The sequence below is a fragment of the Homo sapiens genome, chromosome 13, assembly GCF_000001405.40.
Source record: "Homo sapiens chromosome 13, GRCh38.p14 Primary Assembly".
In the NCBI taxonomy this organism is placed as follows: Eukaryota; Metazoa; Chordata; class Mammalia; order Primates; family Hominidae; genus Homo; species Homo sapiens.
Genome location: NC_000013.11, coordinates 54,824,037 through 54,842,302, shown reverse-complemented (window position 1 = coordinate 54,842,302; position 18,266 = coordinate 54,824,037). Strand labels below are relative to the sequence as shown.

At 35.1% G+C, this 18,266-nt stretch overlaps 1 long non-coding RNA gene across 1 annotated transcript in view; it reads right to left on the bottom strand.

Moving 5' to 3' along the window:
* Positions 1-212: 212 nt before the first annotated feature.
* LOC105370213 (uncharacterized) overlaps positions 213-18,266 on the bottom strand; it is a 49,122-nt gene continuing 31,068 nt past the window's right edge. Inside the window, exon 3 of the long non-coding RNA XR_941975.3 lies at positions 213-385. This is a non-coding gene — a long non-coding RNA (uncharacterized LOC105370213). The remainder of the gene's footprint in view (positions 386-18,266) is intronic.

Below are 18,266 nucleotides of genomic sequence, written 5' to 3'. Positions count from 1 at the left end.
GTAGAAAAGACTTTAAGAAGCATTTCACTGAAGAAGATAACCAAATAATCTTTCAACATGTACTCAACATTGTCACTAATCAGGAAAATATGCATGTACATATTTTTAAAATAAATATTTCACTTCTAGGTATAACTGAGTACTCTATGGCAACCCAATGTTCCCACTGAAAATAGGTAGAAAAACAAAATAATCATAAAAGTCACATTTTTGAAGACATAAGAAAGTTATATAAAAATAGAAGATGATGGATTAAAATTCCAGTGCAGATTGAAACTTGCAGAATTGAGCTGAAAATTTGCTCCTGGCTTTTCACAGAAGAAATCTACCAATTTCTGCAGGCTGGAGGCTAAAGGTCTGGGTGTGTCTCAAGCACAAGGCAAAACTGGAACAAAGAAAAACCAGGAGTGGTTTAGATAGTTACTCAATAGCCAGTCTGCTCCACAAGACATTTGGAAATAACTGGAGCTGCTCTGGGCAGAATGCTAAAGAGTCAAGTTTAAGAAAAGGCTAAAAGAAGGGTGGAAATGTTTAGAGTGCCTGGGCTAAGGAAATGCCAGTTCTCTTTTGTAAACTATGAAAAGCTGAGCCCTAGCAGGAGAGACCCAGAAGTCAACTAAGTCTTATCAAAGCTTAAATTCATCCTTAAGCTGCTTCCTGATTGAATTACTCATCCTGACTGGAATCAGGGGAACAGTCCCTCATTCTACCTACTTAATAAAGAAAAAGGTGGATCTTCCCAAGGAAGGTAGTATCACCAGAGTCTTTATGATCATTTTAATCACAATATCTATCATTTATTTTAAAATGTAATAGATATTTAATTTTATGGGGTCATGTAACCAATAATCAAGAGAAAGAAAAGTCAAAAATAGAAAAAAGATACACAGGTAAACTCAAAATATTACAAGTAGCAGAAAAAGACTCCAAAATATCTGTGATTAATATGTCCAAAAAATAAACAAATGCATAAAGAACGTTAATGAAAAGACCATTTCAACAAAGACATAACATCTTTAAAAAATAAAACATACATATATGTACTGCACTCTAATTTACGAAATAGAATATTGCTAGTACATAAGAATCTTATGTTTCTCTCTCAGCTTGCCTAACCCTCCTTTCATAGATATAATAATTTATCGGCGAGGCGCGGTGGCTCACGCCTGTAATCCCAGCACTTGGGGAGGCCGAGATGGGCGGATCACGAGGTCAGGAGATCGAGACCATCCTGGCTAACACGGGGAAACCCCGTCTCTACTAAAAATACAAAAAAAAAAAAAATTAGCCAGGTGTGGTAGCGGGCACCTGTAGTCCCAGTTACTTGGGAGGCTGAGGCAGGAGAATGGCATGAACCCGGGAGGCAGAGCTTGCAGTGAGCTGAGATCGCGCCACTGCACTCCAGCCTGGGCGACAGAGTGAGACTCTGTCTCAAAAAAAAAAAAAAAAAAAAAGATATAACCATTCATCATGTCCTATATTAATTATTACCTCCTTCTTACCTCTTTCATATTCACTATTAAACAATACAATATTTAACTATAGCTCATTTTTGAACTATACATAAAGATAATTATATGTAATTTTTTCTCTAACTAGCTTCCATTATTCAAAATTCTGATTTTTAAATCAGCTTTGTTGAGGTATACTGTTGTCATTTATTAATTTTCTTTGCTGAATGGTATCCATTGAATTAAGACATCACAATTTAGCTATATATATTCTTTGTGATAACTATTTGGGTTATTTCCAATATTTATTTATGTAAATTATGCTGCTATTAATATTTTTGTATGTACCTCCTGGGGCATTTTACAAGTTTCTCTAGGGTATATATTAGAAAGCAGAGTTGTGGATCAATGCAACTATGCAACTTTTCTGATACATCCCAAAATGTCTTTCAAAGTGATTATACTAGTTTATACTCTGCATAGCAGTGGATGAAAGGTCAGATTGCCTAGCATGCTCACCAACTAAAAACTGCCCAACTTCGGTTATTTTTCTTGGTATGATGAGTTTAAAATAATATTTTATTATGGCTTAATATTTATTTTATGATTACTAGTGAGGTGGGAAAGATTGCTTCAAAATTTGATATTTTGTATATTGATTTCTTCAACAATATTCTAGTAAATATCTTTTACCTACCTTTTCCATTTGCTTTCATCTTTGAGCTTTGTAATATTCTTACAGCTTTTTGTGATGTTTTGCCGAAAAGATAGTTTTTTTATTTTTAATTAATTAGTTTTTTACAATTCTTAAACTTTTATCTCCCCCTGGTCCCAGCATCATTTTATCTCTTGTTATAAACATGCGATATCCAAAGATTTGGGAACAAAATTTACATATATGTGTGGGTCAATTTCAGATTATTTGGCCCATTTGTCCATAATTTCACTAATACCAATATATAATAATAACTTCACATTTATGTTAAATATTTATGTCTGGAAAGCCATGCCTTCTTCTTATTCTACTTTTTTAGATGACTCATTTTTTTCTAGCTCTAAAATGTACAGGTTTCAAAAATCCTTTTTGAATTATAAAAATTATTATTATGTACATGGATATTTATCTCATAAAGATTTTGGTCTCAAAAGGCTAATTTTTTGGATTTTAATAAAATCACAACAGATTTTCATTATTGCATTCTATCCTTTAACTCCTTTTATATTTTGTATTATTTATAAGCAAATAAAACTGAATTGACTCATTTATGATTTCTGCTGTCCTATAAAAAGCACAATGTATCCTAAGTTTCAATATATCTTTACGATTATCCATAAGGTTTTACATTTCATTTGAAGTTATATCTCCTAACTAATTGTTGCCGATGTTTATAAATGCAATTCAATTGACTTTGGTATATGGTTTTTTAAAATCCAGTGGCCTTACTACTCCTTGTTATTAATTTATTTTATTTATATTTTGACCTTTTTTTGGCATATTTTATGAATACAATTACATCATCTGCAAAAGTTGTATTTGAGTTTCTTTCCAAATATTTAAGCCACTTCGTAACTTTAAGGACTCTAATGCTAAAATAAGATGCAGAAACACTGAAGACCTCTAAATGTGATAAGTTGGTTATTCGGATGATTGATGAAAGGGCAAACAGTAGATGGTATTTAACATTTCAGTTGTTCATATAAAACAGAAAGACTTAAATTCTCCCTTACCATAATGAACTAAATAAAACAATATTTATAAAAGTTTTAATAAATGATGTTTTAAGTAAAACATAATTGATAGTATTTATTTTTTCATCAAGATAAATCTCAGAATCCTAGATTATAGTATAATATTCGATTTCTGCAAGAAACATAGCATAGTAAACAATGTTTAAATACCAGATGTAAATCAAGGAAGATTCCTAACAGAAGTGAAAGATGTGTCTAAGAATATAAAATACAGTTTCTAATAATCAATAAAAATAAGACAATAATCTAATATGACAAAAATTGATAAAAATATGAAGATTCAATTTTAAAAATAATTGTACAAGTGTCATGTATAGTATAAAGTCATACAAATTCACTAGTAAATACATAATTAGAATTTTAAATAAAATATGATTATCAGACTAGCAAATATTAAAATTATTGATAAAACTAGTTTTAGAGGGGATGTAGGAAATATGATGTCATATAAAATTGGTTACAGTGTACATTGTTGCAATTTTTGAGGTCATAATACAATATCTACCTACATTTAATTGGGCATATCATTTGAGGCAGCTTTTCCACTTCTTGACATCTCTCCTACAGAAATATCCACATGCACAAAAAATTGCATGTACAAATGGGTTTGTTGCAGCATTAAATGATTAAATAGTATCATTATGCTATTTAATACCATGTAACCATTATAAAATCAGCAGGTAGATTTATGATATTTACATAAAATATCCCTACAGTATTCTACCAAAATATACATCAAGATATATTTTACATTCATACAGTGAAATGCTACTACACAATAAAGAGGAATGAATTATTGATGTTCTCCACAACATGAATGAATTTTAAAATCAGTAGCTGAGTGAAAGAAGCCAGACAAAAAGAGCACATACTATATGATTCATTTATATAAATGTCTAGAAATGTTAATTAATCTGTAATAAAAGAAGGTACATCAATTATTCTCTGGGGAAGGTAGTGGAGGGAGAGGAGATTTATGAAGGGTAAAGGAAATTTTTGCCGCTGATGGAAATGTTCACTATCTTGATTGTGGTATGTACATATGTTAAGACTGATTAAATTGTACTCTAAGTGTGTGAGGTTGGCACTCTTTATACTTCAATAAGATTAGAAATCAAAAAAACCTTAAGAAGCAAAACACTTTAGGATGTTTAGATTTAGGTATTTTCCTGGCCTAAATTCCAAGAGAGGAATCTTTGTCACTTAGGTACAATCTACTAAGGTATCTACTCTATTTAGAAAACAATATCATGGACCATCTGTAGCCTGCAGTTAACTAAAATTACAGTTTATGATGGAAATAGCCAACATGATCTGATGAAATGCATATCATTGGATCTTGGTGGTAGAAGCGTATTTATTCACATATATAACTTAGCCACATAGAAGGGTTATTATATTTCATTGTAGGGGGGAATGAATGGGGTCTTAACTGATCACAACTAACTAAGAGCTGGAAGAGGTGATGTTAGCAGTCCCATTATCAGATTGGGTAAGTATGGTAAAACTGTAAAATAGCTCTATAAGTCCCTTCAAATAAATAGTTGAAGTTAACTATTACTTGATGAGGCTTCTAAATTTTCTAAATTCACTTACTAACTGTAGATCAAGCCTTTCCAAGATTATTATTCAAACTTTTGTGGCTTCCAAACTTTTTAAAGCAATAGACCCTTTAATCAAGCAAAATCTCACTCAAAACACCAACCTCAATCATCACACTTGTTGTAAATAAAAGCAGAATATTTTAACCATATATTTATTGTATAAGATTACATTTTTAATCCTTGAAATGAGTAAGAATAATATAACTAAAGAATAATAACCACAAGATTTGCAATATATGGTTTGTGGATGATTGTTGCTGATATTTCAGCCTCAGCATCTATTTCTGTATCTTGTTTGGATGGCAGAGTTTTTAGAAATTCAAGTTTCATACAGTTAAGCAGTTTCAAATAGTATTTTTATTAGTTCTCATTGAAAGCAGAGTATACTCTCCAATTAAACTGGTCAAGAAGCTTCAGATGATGCTGACAAATGTTTGCCTCTAAGGTGAAGCACTAATGTCCAACAACTGAATTCACTGCTTACCAAAAATTTAGGCAAGAAGCACCAAATATTTAAAGTACGTGTTAAAATTATCTAGTATAAAATTATCACAACTCAATGTGTTGTGAATTTACTTGCAATTGAACACATTTTACTCCTTGACAACCACACGTAAAGTGCACATAACTGAGACTAACCTGATATTTCACAATGGTGGGTATGCAAAAAACAAAATCAAAATAAGAAAAAAAAGTCATACAGAGTGACAAACTCAAATAACCAGTGAAACAATATAAGAAGTTCGGGTATACTAATCCAGATAGCAGAAAAGCTGTGGTAGGCAGAATTCTAAGATGACTTCCAGTGATCCATGACTTTGTATAATCCCCTCTCCTTTGAGTATGGGAAGAGCTTTTAAATTAATTTTGATGAATGGAATATGGCAAAGGTGATGAGCTATAACTGTCATGATTATGTTAAATTGTGTGGCAAAGGTAAAGGTATTTTGCAGATGTAATTAAGGCTCTTGATTAGTTGACTTTAAGTTAATCAAAAGGACGACTATCCTTGGTGAGCCTAACTTAATCAGGTGAAGCCATTAAAAGAACGTCCAAGGATTAAAGAAAGAAATCACACACTATCCTGAAGGTCTTTAAAAAAGCCACTACGAGTTCCACAGCTGCAAGGAACGAATTCTGCTAACAATCACCAGAGCTTTTAAGGACCCTAAGTATCAGGTAAGACTCAAACCACCATCAGCACCAAGGATCAAAGGACCTAGATGAAAACAGCTAAGATGTGTGTAGGCTTCTTGACCCACAGACCTTGTGTGATAATAGATAAGTGTTGCTTTAAGCCACTAAATTTGTGGTAATTTGTTATCTAACAATAGAAAAAAAAATTCAAGATATAGGCTAATTTCAAAAAGTATTTTATTTTTGTAAAACAAATAGTACATGTTTATGTATATCCATATAAATATAATAATGTAATATATTGATAGGAGTGAAGAACAAAACCTCAAATTTATAGAATGAGGAATTATGCTATTAGAAGTTAGTAATCTTATTTATTTTGTAATAATATGGGAATAAGACTTTTTGGAAAATGGTAGCCAATGACAATTATGCTATACTTAATTCACAATAATGAAGACTGTGCCTTAAAACAGAGTTTCAATACACATAATATTTGATTATGGCTTACTGTGTCAGCATTCCTGTAAATTCTCTCCCTTTCCTTTTTCTCTCTTTCTCTTTCACACACACACACACACACACACACACACATTTAACCGTCATACAAGAAATTGTAAGATAGTTCTTATCATCACAATCTTCATTTTTAAATCGCAAAGTTGAGTCACAGATACTTAGGAAAATTGCCTAAGCTCACAGAATATAAGATAGCATAGGTAGGATTTGAAGATGAGCAGTCTGGCTCCAAAATAAAATGAATCCTCATGATTAATAAAATACTATTTTACCTTCCAAATAAACATTTAAAATGTTGAAGAAATTGAAAATTAATTGGATTCCAACATGTTTATTAACAAGGTGGTAGAAGTGAGTAAAATTATTTTAGTTTAAAATTACATGTAACTCTAAGGAGACTGACTTTCTTAACTCCCTTTTAAATTCACATTAAATGCAAAAGACAATTGGTGTTCTTGCCCAGTGTTGCCTCTCTGATTCTAGGCATGTGAAACAAAACTAAAGACTTGGCTGCAAAGGAAAAAGAACACATTACAGATCTATTGTTGTTGTAACACCTGTTCTATCCCTAATTTTAGGGGTGAAATATAATAACATTATTGAAAAAGGTGGTATGTCTTTCAAAAACATTTGTTTTCCAAAGAGTAGCTCTCTTCATGTTTTTCAACAGAATTTACTTTTCACTGAAAGCTGCAAAGGAAAGCATTAAAACCACATGTGATGCTCCAGTAAAATGCTATTTTTTAACCTGTTCTCTACATTTAGAAGTTGTTCGAAACTGAACCACATGATAAATCAAATCTTATAGTACTGAATACAGAAAGAGAGATTAATATAATATCTTCTATTTTCCCTATTCTTTTCTATTTCAGTGCTTATATTCTGTCTGGCCACATTTGTGAATACAATTGAAGGAAATTCTGTATACAATTTTCACATGATAGGTTTTAAAAAGATTTCATGATATGATAGGTTTTGAAAAGTCTTCTTTCTTGATTGTCTACATTATTCCTTCTAGGCTTATTCATGACTTTTCTTGTATTATTATTTTGCCTCTAATACTTGTCTGCTTAAAAAAATTTAAAGTGTGAGTCTTCTCAAATTGTTTCGTAAATGAATGAAATCCCACAGTGAGAAATACAGTCAGGTGCCAAATAACAATGTTTTGGTCAACAATGGAAGAATTTGGTCAACAACAGACCACATATACAAATGGCAGTTGTTAAGATCATAACACTATGTTTTTACTGTATCGTCTATGTTTAGATTTGTTTAGATATACAAACACTTACCATGTGTTAGAATAGCCTACAGTATTCAGTAAAGTAACATGCTCAAAGGTTTACAGTCTAGGAGCAATAAACTATACCATGTAGCCTACGTATGTAGAAGGCTATACCACCTAGGTTTGTTTAAGTACACACTATGATGTTTTCACAATGAAATTGCCTAACAACACATTTCTCAGAACTTATCCCTGTTGTTAATCAATGCACGACTGTAATTAAAGACAAAACAACACTTTAGGAAAAACAAGGCACATCAGAGAACACAATTAATTAACTATTTCATGCCATTAGTTACCTTGTAATTGTTGAAGTGTTTCAAATAAGATAATCATCTACTCATTTTTGCTTTAGGCACTAGAAAACCAGACAAGCCTTAGTAATTGAAAGGAAAACAAATTGAGGAAAATGAAGTATATTAGTAAAAAATAATAGAGTGTGTTAAAAATTAGGGAGAAAACTTTTTTTAATACACCCCCCCACCCACACACACACACACAAATTTAAAGTGATAGTTTAGAATTACATTTGGGCCAGGCGCAGTGGCTCACACTTGTAATCCCAGCACTTTGGGAGGCTGAGGCAGGCAGGTGGATCACTTGAGGTCAGGAGTTCGAGACCAGCCTGGTCAACTTGGCAAAACCCTGTCTCTACTAAAAATACAAAAATTATTTGGGCATGGTGGCACATGCCTGTAATCCCAGCTACTCGGGAGGCTGAGGCAGGAGAATCGCTTGAACCCGGGAGGCGGAGGTTGCAGTGAGCTGAGATCATGCTACTGCACTCCAGCTTGGGTAACAGAGCCAGACTCCATCTCAAAAAATAAATAAATAAATAAATAAATAAAAATAAAATAAAATAAAGAGGAATTACATTTGACATTCCTTTTATTTCAGAAGATGCTATTATATGCTACATTGTTTAGTTGTCTATATGCAGAAATCTATTTATATGCCTTTTAAATACATGTTTGCTATGCCCACTGTTTTGAATTTTGATGCTTTATAAATACAGGTAATGTCTCCCTCAACACTTTTAAAACTTTCTAAGGGAAGGGAGACCATTCTGTGCCTCTACAGTTGTTCCCAGTATCCTACCGTACACTTTGCATAATGAGAAGCTTAATCCTTGAGTGAGAAGCAGTTGTTTATTTACTTGCTTAACCTTATCCACTGCATTTATTTGACCTTTTATAGACTCAAAATCTCATAATTGGCCTAACCCTTTTATGTTTTATTAAATTTCAATTATTGATACACAGTTTCATAAGTGGAGGGTTAAAAAACCTTCATGTTAAACCAGCATAATGCATGAACACTTCAATCCTCCCACTCCATGCTCTCAGGCATCTAGAGAAACACTTCTAATCTAAGCTTCTCTAGCAATGCTGAAGTCCAAAACTAGGAAGATATGCTTATCCAGACTGTAACTCTCCATGAATTTATTTCAAGACAGTAGAATTTTTACTGCTGCAGACAAAAAGACACTCATCATAGTTTAAAAGAAGTTCTCATTTAGCTTTCTTAAAAGAAAACCTTTAGACAAATTAAATTCAGCAGAGTTTATCTGAGCAAAGAACAATTCATGAATGAAGCAGCATCCTGAACCAGGACAGCTCCATCCAGCAAGAGTGGGCAGGTAGTATTAATAGAGAGAAATAGGAAATGACATACAGAAGCAGTATGATTGATTACAGCTCAGCATTTGCCTTTTATGAGCATGGTCTGATCAATTAGCAACCTATGATTGGCTGAAGTCTGACTCCTGTGATTGGCTGTAACTTCACTGTTTACAAACAAACTTTTAGTTAGGTTGCAGTTTGTTTATATACGAAGCTAGGTTGAAGTATACTATGTAGGAGTTCAAAGAATAAAGGCAGCTGTAGGCTACATTTAATTTAATTTTATAGTGTGAAGAACATGTTTATATTACTAATTGACAAAATAATTTTTATCAAAACATATCATTTTACTTTTAAAACTTTTAGTTGATAAATTGTATATATATAAAATTAAAAAAATTGTTACATTTTTTATTTTTCTGAAATGTTTAATTTTTAATTTTTATGGGTATACAGAACATGTTTATATTTATGAGGCACATGAGATATTTTGACACAGGCATACAATGTGCAATAATCATATCCGGGTAATTGGGGTATCCATCACCTCAAGCATTTATCCTTCCTTTGTGTTACAAACAATTCAATTATACTGTTTTCGTTATTTAAAAAGTACAATAAATTATTGTTCACTGTAGTCACTCTGTTGTGCTATCAAGAACTAGATCTTATTCATTTTTTAAACTCTATTTTTGTACACATTAACCATTCCATCTCTGCCCTCCATCCCCTCACCCCGTTGGCCACCCTTCCCAGGCTCTGGTGGCCATTCTTCCTCTCTGTCTCAATGAGTTTAACTGTTTCAATTTTTAGCTCCCAAAAATAAGTGAGAAAATGCAAAATTTGTCTTTCTGTGACTGGCTTATTTCACTTACCATAATGACTTCCATCTCCATCCATGTTGTTGCAAATGACAGGATCTCATTCTTTTATTTATAGCTAAATAGTGCTTTACTGTGCATATGTACCACATTTTCTTTATCCATTCATCTGTTAATGGCACGGGTTGCTTCCAAGTCTTAATTATTGTGAACAGTGCTGCAATAAACATGCGAGGGTATATATTTTTTCAATATACTGATTTTCTTTCCTGTGAGTACATATCTAGCAGTGGGATTGCTGGATCATATGGTTGCTCTATTTTTAGTTTTTTAAGGAACCTCCAAACTGTTCTCCGTAGTGGTTGTACTAATTTACACTCCCACCAATAGTGTCTGACGGTTCTCTACATCTTCACTAGCATTCCTTATTGCCTGTCTTTTGCACAAAAGCCATTTTTGCTAGCGTGAGATGATATCGCATTATATATTTGATTTGCATTTCTCTGATGATCAGTAATATTGAGCATGTTTTTGTATACCTGTTTTCCATTTCTACATTTTTTTGAGAAATGTCCATACAGATCTTTTGCCCATTTTAATTAGATTATTAGATTTTTTCCCGATAGAGTTGTTTGAGCTCCTTATATATTCTGTTTATAATCCCTTGTAAGATGGTGAGCTTGTAAATATTTCCTCTGATTCAAGGGGTTGTCTCTTCACTTGGTTGTTTCCTTTGCTGTGGATAAGTTTTTTAATTTAATGTGGCTCTTTTGTCCATTCTTGCTTTGGTTGCCTGTGTTTGCTGGACATTACTCAAGAAATCTTTGCTTAGTTTATTGTACTGGAGATTTTTCCCAATATTTTCTTTCAGTAGTTTATCATTTGAGGTTCTACATTTAAGTCTTTTATCCATTTTGATTTGATTTTTGTGTATGGCAAGAGATAGGGGTCTAGTTTCATTTTTCTGCATACAGATATCCAGTTATCCCAGCACCATCAATTGAAGACACTATCTTTTCCCTATGTATGTTCTTGACACTTTTGTCAAAAATGTGTTCACTGTAGATGTATGGAGTTAGTTTCTGGTTCGTCTGTTCTGTTCTATTGGTCAGCGTGTCTATTTTTTATGCCAACATGATGCTGTTTTGGTTACTATAGCTGTGTAGCATAATTTGAAGTCAAGTAACGTGATGCTTCCAGTTTTGTTCTTTATGCTCAGGATAGCTTTGGCTATTCTGGGTCTATTGCGGTTTAATATAAGTTTTAGTATTTTTTTTCTATTTCTCTGAATAATGTCATTGGTATGTTGATAGAAATTACATTGAATCTGTAGATTGCCTTAGGCAGTATGGACATTTTAACAATATTGATTCTTCTAAACCACGAACGTGAAATAACTTTCAAATTTTTTGTGTCCTCTTCAACTTTTTAAATCAATGTTTTATAGTTTTTTATTGTAGATGTCTTTCACTTATTTAAATAAATTAATCCCTAGGTATTTTATTTTATTTTCAGCTATTTAAACGGGAAACTTTCTTGATTTCTTTCTCAGATTGTTTGCTGTTGGCATGTAGAAATGCTACTGACCTTTGAATGTTGATTTTGTATGCTGCAACTTTACTGAACTTGTTTATCAGTTTTAATAGTTTTTTGGTGAAGTCTTTAGACTTGTCCAAACATCAGAGTGCATCACCCACAAACAAGGATAATTTGACTTCTTCCTTTCCTTGGATGCCTGTTATTTCTTTCTCTTTTCTGATTGATCTAGCTAGGATTTATGGTACTATACTGAATAACAGTGGTGAAAGTGGGCATCCTTGACATATTTCATATATTAAAGGAAAGACTTTCAGATTTTTTTTCTTTCAGTATAACACTAACTGTGAGTCTGTTATAAATTGCTTTCATTGTATTGAGATATGTTCCTTCTATACCCAGCTATTTGAGGATTTCTATCATGAAGAGATGTTGAATTTTCTCAAATGCTTTTTACACATCAGTTGAAATGATTATATGGCTTTTGTCCTGCATTCTGTTGATATGATGTATTGAGAGGTGACAGCATGCTGGCAGTCCTCACAGCCCTCGCTCACTCTCGGCGCCTCCTCTGCCTGGGCTCCCACTTTGGCGGCACTTGAGGAGCCCTTCAGCCCACCACGGCACTGTGGGAGCCCCTTTCTGGGCTGACCAAGGCCGGAGCCCGCTCCCTCAGCTTGCAGGGAGGCGTGGAGGGAGAGGTGCCAGCGGGAATTGGGGCTGCGCAGGGCGCTTGCAGGCCAGCTGGAGTTCCGGGTGGGCGTGGGCTTGGCGGGCCCTGCACTCAGAGCAGCCAGCCTGCCCTGCTGGCCCTGGGCAATGAGGGGCTTAGCACCCGGGCCAGCGGCTGTGGAGGGTGTACTGGGTCCCCCAGCAGTGCCAGCCCACTGGTGCTGTGCTCAATTCCTCTCCTGGCCTTAGCTGCCTTCCCGTGGGGCAGGGCTCGGGACCTGCAGCCCGCCATGCCTGAGCCTCTCACCCCCTCCCCGGGCTCCTGTGCAGCTGGAGCCTCCTCGAGGAGCGCCACCCCCTGCTCCATGGTGCCCAGTCCCATCAACCACCCAAGGGCTGAGGAGTGCGGGTGCACGGCGCAGGACTGGCAGGCAGCTCCATCTGCAGCCCCGGTGCGGGATCCACTGGGTGAAGCCAGCTGGGCTCCTGAGTCTGGTGGGGACGTGGAAAATCTTTATGTCTAGCTCAGGGATTGTAAATACACAAATCGGCACTCTGTATCTAGCTCAAGGTTTGTAAACACACCAATCAGCACCCTGTATCTAGCTCAAGGTTTGTAAACACACCAATCAGCACCCTGTGTCTAGCTCAGGGTTTGTGAATGCACCAATTGACACTCTGTATCTAGCTACTCTGGCGGGGCCTTGGAGAACCTTTATGTCTAGCCCAGGGATTGTAAATACAACAGTTGGTACTCTGTATCTAGCTCAAGGTTTGTAAACACACCAATCAGCATCGTGTCTAGCTCAGGGATTGTAAATACACCAATCAGCACCCTGTGTCTAGCTCAGGGTTTGTGAATGCACCAATCAACACTCTGTATCTAGGTACTCTGATGGGGCCTTGGAGAACCTTTGGGTCTACACTCTGTATCTAGCTAATCTGGTGGGGCCTTGGAGAACCTTTGTGTCTAGCTCAGGGATTGTAAACGAATCAATCAGCGCCCTGTCAAAACAGACCACTCGGCTCTACCAATCAGCAGGATGTGGGTGGGGCCAGATAAGAGAATAAAAGCAGGCTGTCCAAGCCAGCAGTGTCAACCCGCTCGGGTCCCCTTCCACACTGTGCAAACTTTGTTCTTTTCTCTTTGCAATAAATCTTGCTGCTGCTCACTCTTTGGGTCCACACTGCCTTTATGAGCTGTAACACTCACCACGAAGGTCTGCAGCTTCACTCCCGAAGCCAGCAAGATCATGAGCCCACCAGGAGGAGCAAACAACTTCAGATGCGCCACCTTAAGAGCTGTAACACTCACTGCAAAGGTCTGCAGCTTCACTCCTGAGCCAGCGAGACCACGAACCCACCAGAAGGAAGAAACTCCGAACACATCTGAACATCAGAAGGAGCAAACTCTGGACACGCCACCTTTAAGAACTGTAACACTCACCTCGAGGGTCCGCAGCTTCATTCTTGAAGTCAGTGAGACCAAGAACCCACCAATTCCAGACACAACATCACACTGATTGGTTTGTATATGCGGAACTTTCCTTGCATCCCTGAGATAAATACCACTTGGTCATGATGAATGATCTTTTTAATGTGATATTGAATTCAGTTTGCTAATATTTGTTGAGGATTTTTCATCAATATTCATCAGGAATACTGGCCTGTAGTTTTATTTTTTTGATGTGTCTTCGTATGGTTTTGGTATCAGGGTAATACTACCCTTGTAGAATTAGTTTGGAAGTATTCTGTCCTCTATTTTTCAGAATAGTTCGAGTAAGATCAGTATTAGTTCTTTAAATCTTAGGTAAAATTCTGCAGTAAAGCCATTGGGTCTCGGACTTTTCTTTGATGCAAGGCTTTTTATTCCAACTTCAATCTTGTTACTTGTTATTGGTCTGTTCAGGTTTTGGATTTCTTCAAGGCTTAATCTGGGTAGGTTGTGTGTGTCTATAAATTTATTCATTTTCCTCAGTTTTTCCAATTTATTGGCATATAGTTGCTCTTAGTAGCCTCTAATGATCCTTTGAATTTCTGTGGTATCAGTTGTAATGTTTCCTTTTTAATCTCAGATTTTTAAAATTTTGAGTCTTCTCCCTTTTTTCTTTTAGTTAGTCTGGCTAAAGGTTTATTGATTTTATCTTTTCAAAAAACAAACTTTTCATTTTAATAATTTTTTGTATTGTTTTCTTTATTTCAATTCCATTTATTTCTTCTCTGATCTTTATTATTTCTTTTCCTCTAATAATTTTGGATTTGATTTGGTCTTGCTTTTCTAATTCTAGAAGATGCTTCTTTAGGTTATTTGTTTGAAGTTTTTCCTCTTTTTTGATGTAGATCCTTATAGCTATAACACTGTTGTCTTAGTATTGCTTTTGCTCTATAGGTTTTGGCATGTTGTGTTTCTATTATCATTTGTTTCAAAAATATTCCAATTTCATTCTTAATTTATTCATTGATCCACTGGTAATTCAGTAGCATGTTGTTTAATTTCCATGTGTTCATATAGTTTCCAAAATGCCTCTTCTTATTGATTTCTAGTTTTATTCCATTGTAGTCAGAGAAGATACTTGATATAACTTCAATTTTTTTAATTTTTAAAGACTTGTTTTGTGGCCTACATTATATGGTTTATCCTTGGGAATGATCCATGTGCTGAGGAGAAGAATGTGTATTCTGTACCCACCAGATGAAATGTTCTGTAAATATCTATTAGGTCCATTTGATCTATAGTGCGGATTAAGTCTGATTTTTCTTTGTTGATTTTCTGTATGACTGCCCAATGCTGAAAGTAGGGTGTTGAAGTTCTCAGCTAAACTTATTTTTCTTTTCTTCTCTAATAATATTTGCTTTCTATATCTGGGTGCCTGGTTTTTGGTGCATATATTTTTAAAATTGTTATATCCTCCTGCTGATTCAACCTCTTTATCATTATATAATGGCATTTTTGACTCTTTCTATTGTTTTTCTTTTAAAATATGTTGTTTCTGAAATAAGTATAGCAACTCCTGCACTTTTTTCCCTTTATTTTCAGTCTGTGTGTTTGTTTACAGGTGAAGTGTGTTTCTTGTAGGGAACAGATTTTTTATTTTTGTAATGTAATACATTCAGCCACTCTGTGTTTTTTGATTGAAGAGTTCTGTCCATTTACATTCAATGTTATTACTGATAAAAAAACAACTTCGTCCTGTCATTTTGTGGCTTTCCACTTATTTTGTGGTCTTTTCTTCCTTTTTTCTTTTTTTCCTGTCTTACTTTTAGTGAAGGTGATTTACTCTGATGGTATGATTTATTTCCTTGCTTTCTATTTTAGGTATATCTTTTTTTTTTTTCTGATTTGAGATTACCATGAGGCTTGCAAATAATCTTTTTTTTCTGTACATAATTTTTTTATTATACTTTAAATTCTGGGATATATGTGAAAAATGTGCAGGTTTGTTACATAGGTATACATGTGCCATGGTGGCTTGCTGCACCCATCAACCCGTCATCTACATTAGGTATTTCTCCTAATTCTATCCCTGCCCTTTCCCCTACGCCCAACAGACCCCGGTGTGTGATGTTCCCATCCCTGTGTCCATGTGTTCTTATTGTTTAACTCTCACTTATGAGTGAAAACATGCAGTGTTTGATTTTCTGTTCCTGTGTTAGTTGGCTGAAGATGATGGTTTCCAGCTTTCATCCATGTCCCTGCAAAGAACATGAACTCATTCTTTTTTATAACTGCATAGTATTCCATGGTATATATGTGCCATATTTTCTTTATGTGGTCTATCATTGATGGGGAATTGGGTTGGTTCCAAGTCTTTGCTATTGCAAATAGTGCTGCAATAAACATACATGTGCATGTGTCTTTATAGCAGAATGACTTATAACCCTTTGGGTATATACCCAGTAATGGGATTGTTGGGTAAAATGGTATTTCTGGTTCCAGATTCTTGAGGAATCACCACACTGTTTTCCACAATGGTTGAACTAATTTACACTCCTACCAACAGAGTAAAAGTGTGCCTATTTCTCCACATCTTCTCCAGCATCTGTTGTTTCCTGACTTTTTAATGATCTCCATTTTTAACTGGCGTGAGATGGTATCTCATTGTGGTTTTGATTTGCATTTCTGTAATGACCAGTGATGATGAGCTTTTTTTCATATGTTTGTTAGCCACATAAATGTCTTCTTTTGAGAAGCCTCTGTTCATATCCTTTGTCCACTTTTTGATGGGGTTGTTTTTTTCTTGTAAATTTTTTAAGTTCCTTGTAGATTCTGGATATTAGCCCTTTGTCATATGGATAGATTGCAGAACTTTTCTCCCATTCTGTAGGTTGCCTGTACACTCTGATGATAGTTTTGTTTGCTGAGCAGAAGCTCTTTAGTTTAATTAGATCCCATTTGTCCATTTTGGTCTTTGTTGCAATGGCTTTTGGTGTTTGAGTCATTAAGTCTTTCCTCATGCCTATGTTTTGAATGTTATTGCCTATATTTTCTTCTAGGGTTTTTACGGCTTTAGGTCTCACATTTAAGTCTTTAATCCATCTTGAGTTAATTTTTGTACAAGGTGTAAGGAAGGGGTCCAGTTCCAGTTTTCTGTATATGGCTAGACAGTTTTCCCAACACCATTTATTAAACAGGGACTCCTTTCCCCATTGCTTGTTTTTGTCAGGTTTGTCAAAGATGAGATGGTTGTAGATGTGTGGCCTTATTTCTGAGACTTCTATTCTGTTCCATTGGTTTATATATCTGTTTTGGTACCAGTACCATGCTGTTTTGGTTACTGTAGCCTTGTAGTATAGTTTGAAGTCAGGTGGCGTGAAACCTCCAGCTTTGTTCTTTTCGCTTAGGATTGTCTTGGCTATATGGCTCTTTTTTGGTTCCATTTGAAACTTAATTGTAGTTTTTTCTAATTCTGTAAAGAAAGTCAATGGTAGTTTGATGGGAATAGCATTGAATCTATAAATTACTTTGGGCAGTATGGCCATTTTCATGATATTGTTTCTTCCTATCCATTAGTATGGAATGTTTTTTCATTTCTTTGTGTCCTCTCTTATTTCTTGAGGAGTGGTTTGTAGTTCTTGAAGAGTTCCTTCACGTCCCTAGTAAGTTGTATTCCTAGGTATTTTATTCTCTTTGTAGCAGTTGTGAATGGGAGTTCATTCAGGATTTGGCTCTCTGTTTGTCTATTATTGGTGTATAGGAATGCTTGTGATTTCTGCACATTGATTTTGTATCCTGAGACTTTGCTGAAGTTGCCTATCAGCTTAAGGAGTTTTTGGGCTGAGATGATGTGGTTTTCTAAATATACAATCATGTCATCTGCAAACAGAGACAATTTGACTCCCTCTCTTCCTATTTGAATACCCTTTATTTTTTTCTTTTGCCTGATTGCCCTGGCCAGAACTTCCAATACTATGTTGAAGAGGAGTGGTAAGAGAGGGCATCCTTCTCTTGTGCCAGTTTTCAAAGGGAATGCTTCCAGCTTTTGCCCATTCAGTATGATTTGGCTATGGGTTTTTCATGAATAGCTCTTATTATTTTGAGATATGTTCCATCAGTACCTAGTTTATTGAGTGTGTTTTAGCATGAAGTGGTGTTGAATTTTATCAAAGGCCTTTTCTGCATCTATTGAGATAATCATGTGTTTTTTGCCATTGGTTCTGTGTATGTGATGGATTACATAATTATTGATTTGTGTATGTTGAACCAGCCTTGCATCCCAGCAATGAAGTTGACTTGGTTGTTGTGGATAAGCTTTTTGATGTGCTGCTGGATTTGGTTTGCCAGTATTTTATTGAGGATTTTTACATCGATGTTCATCAGGGATACTGACCTGAAATTTTCTTTTTTTGTTGTGTCTCTGGAAGGGTTTGGT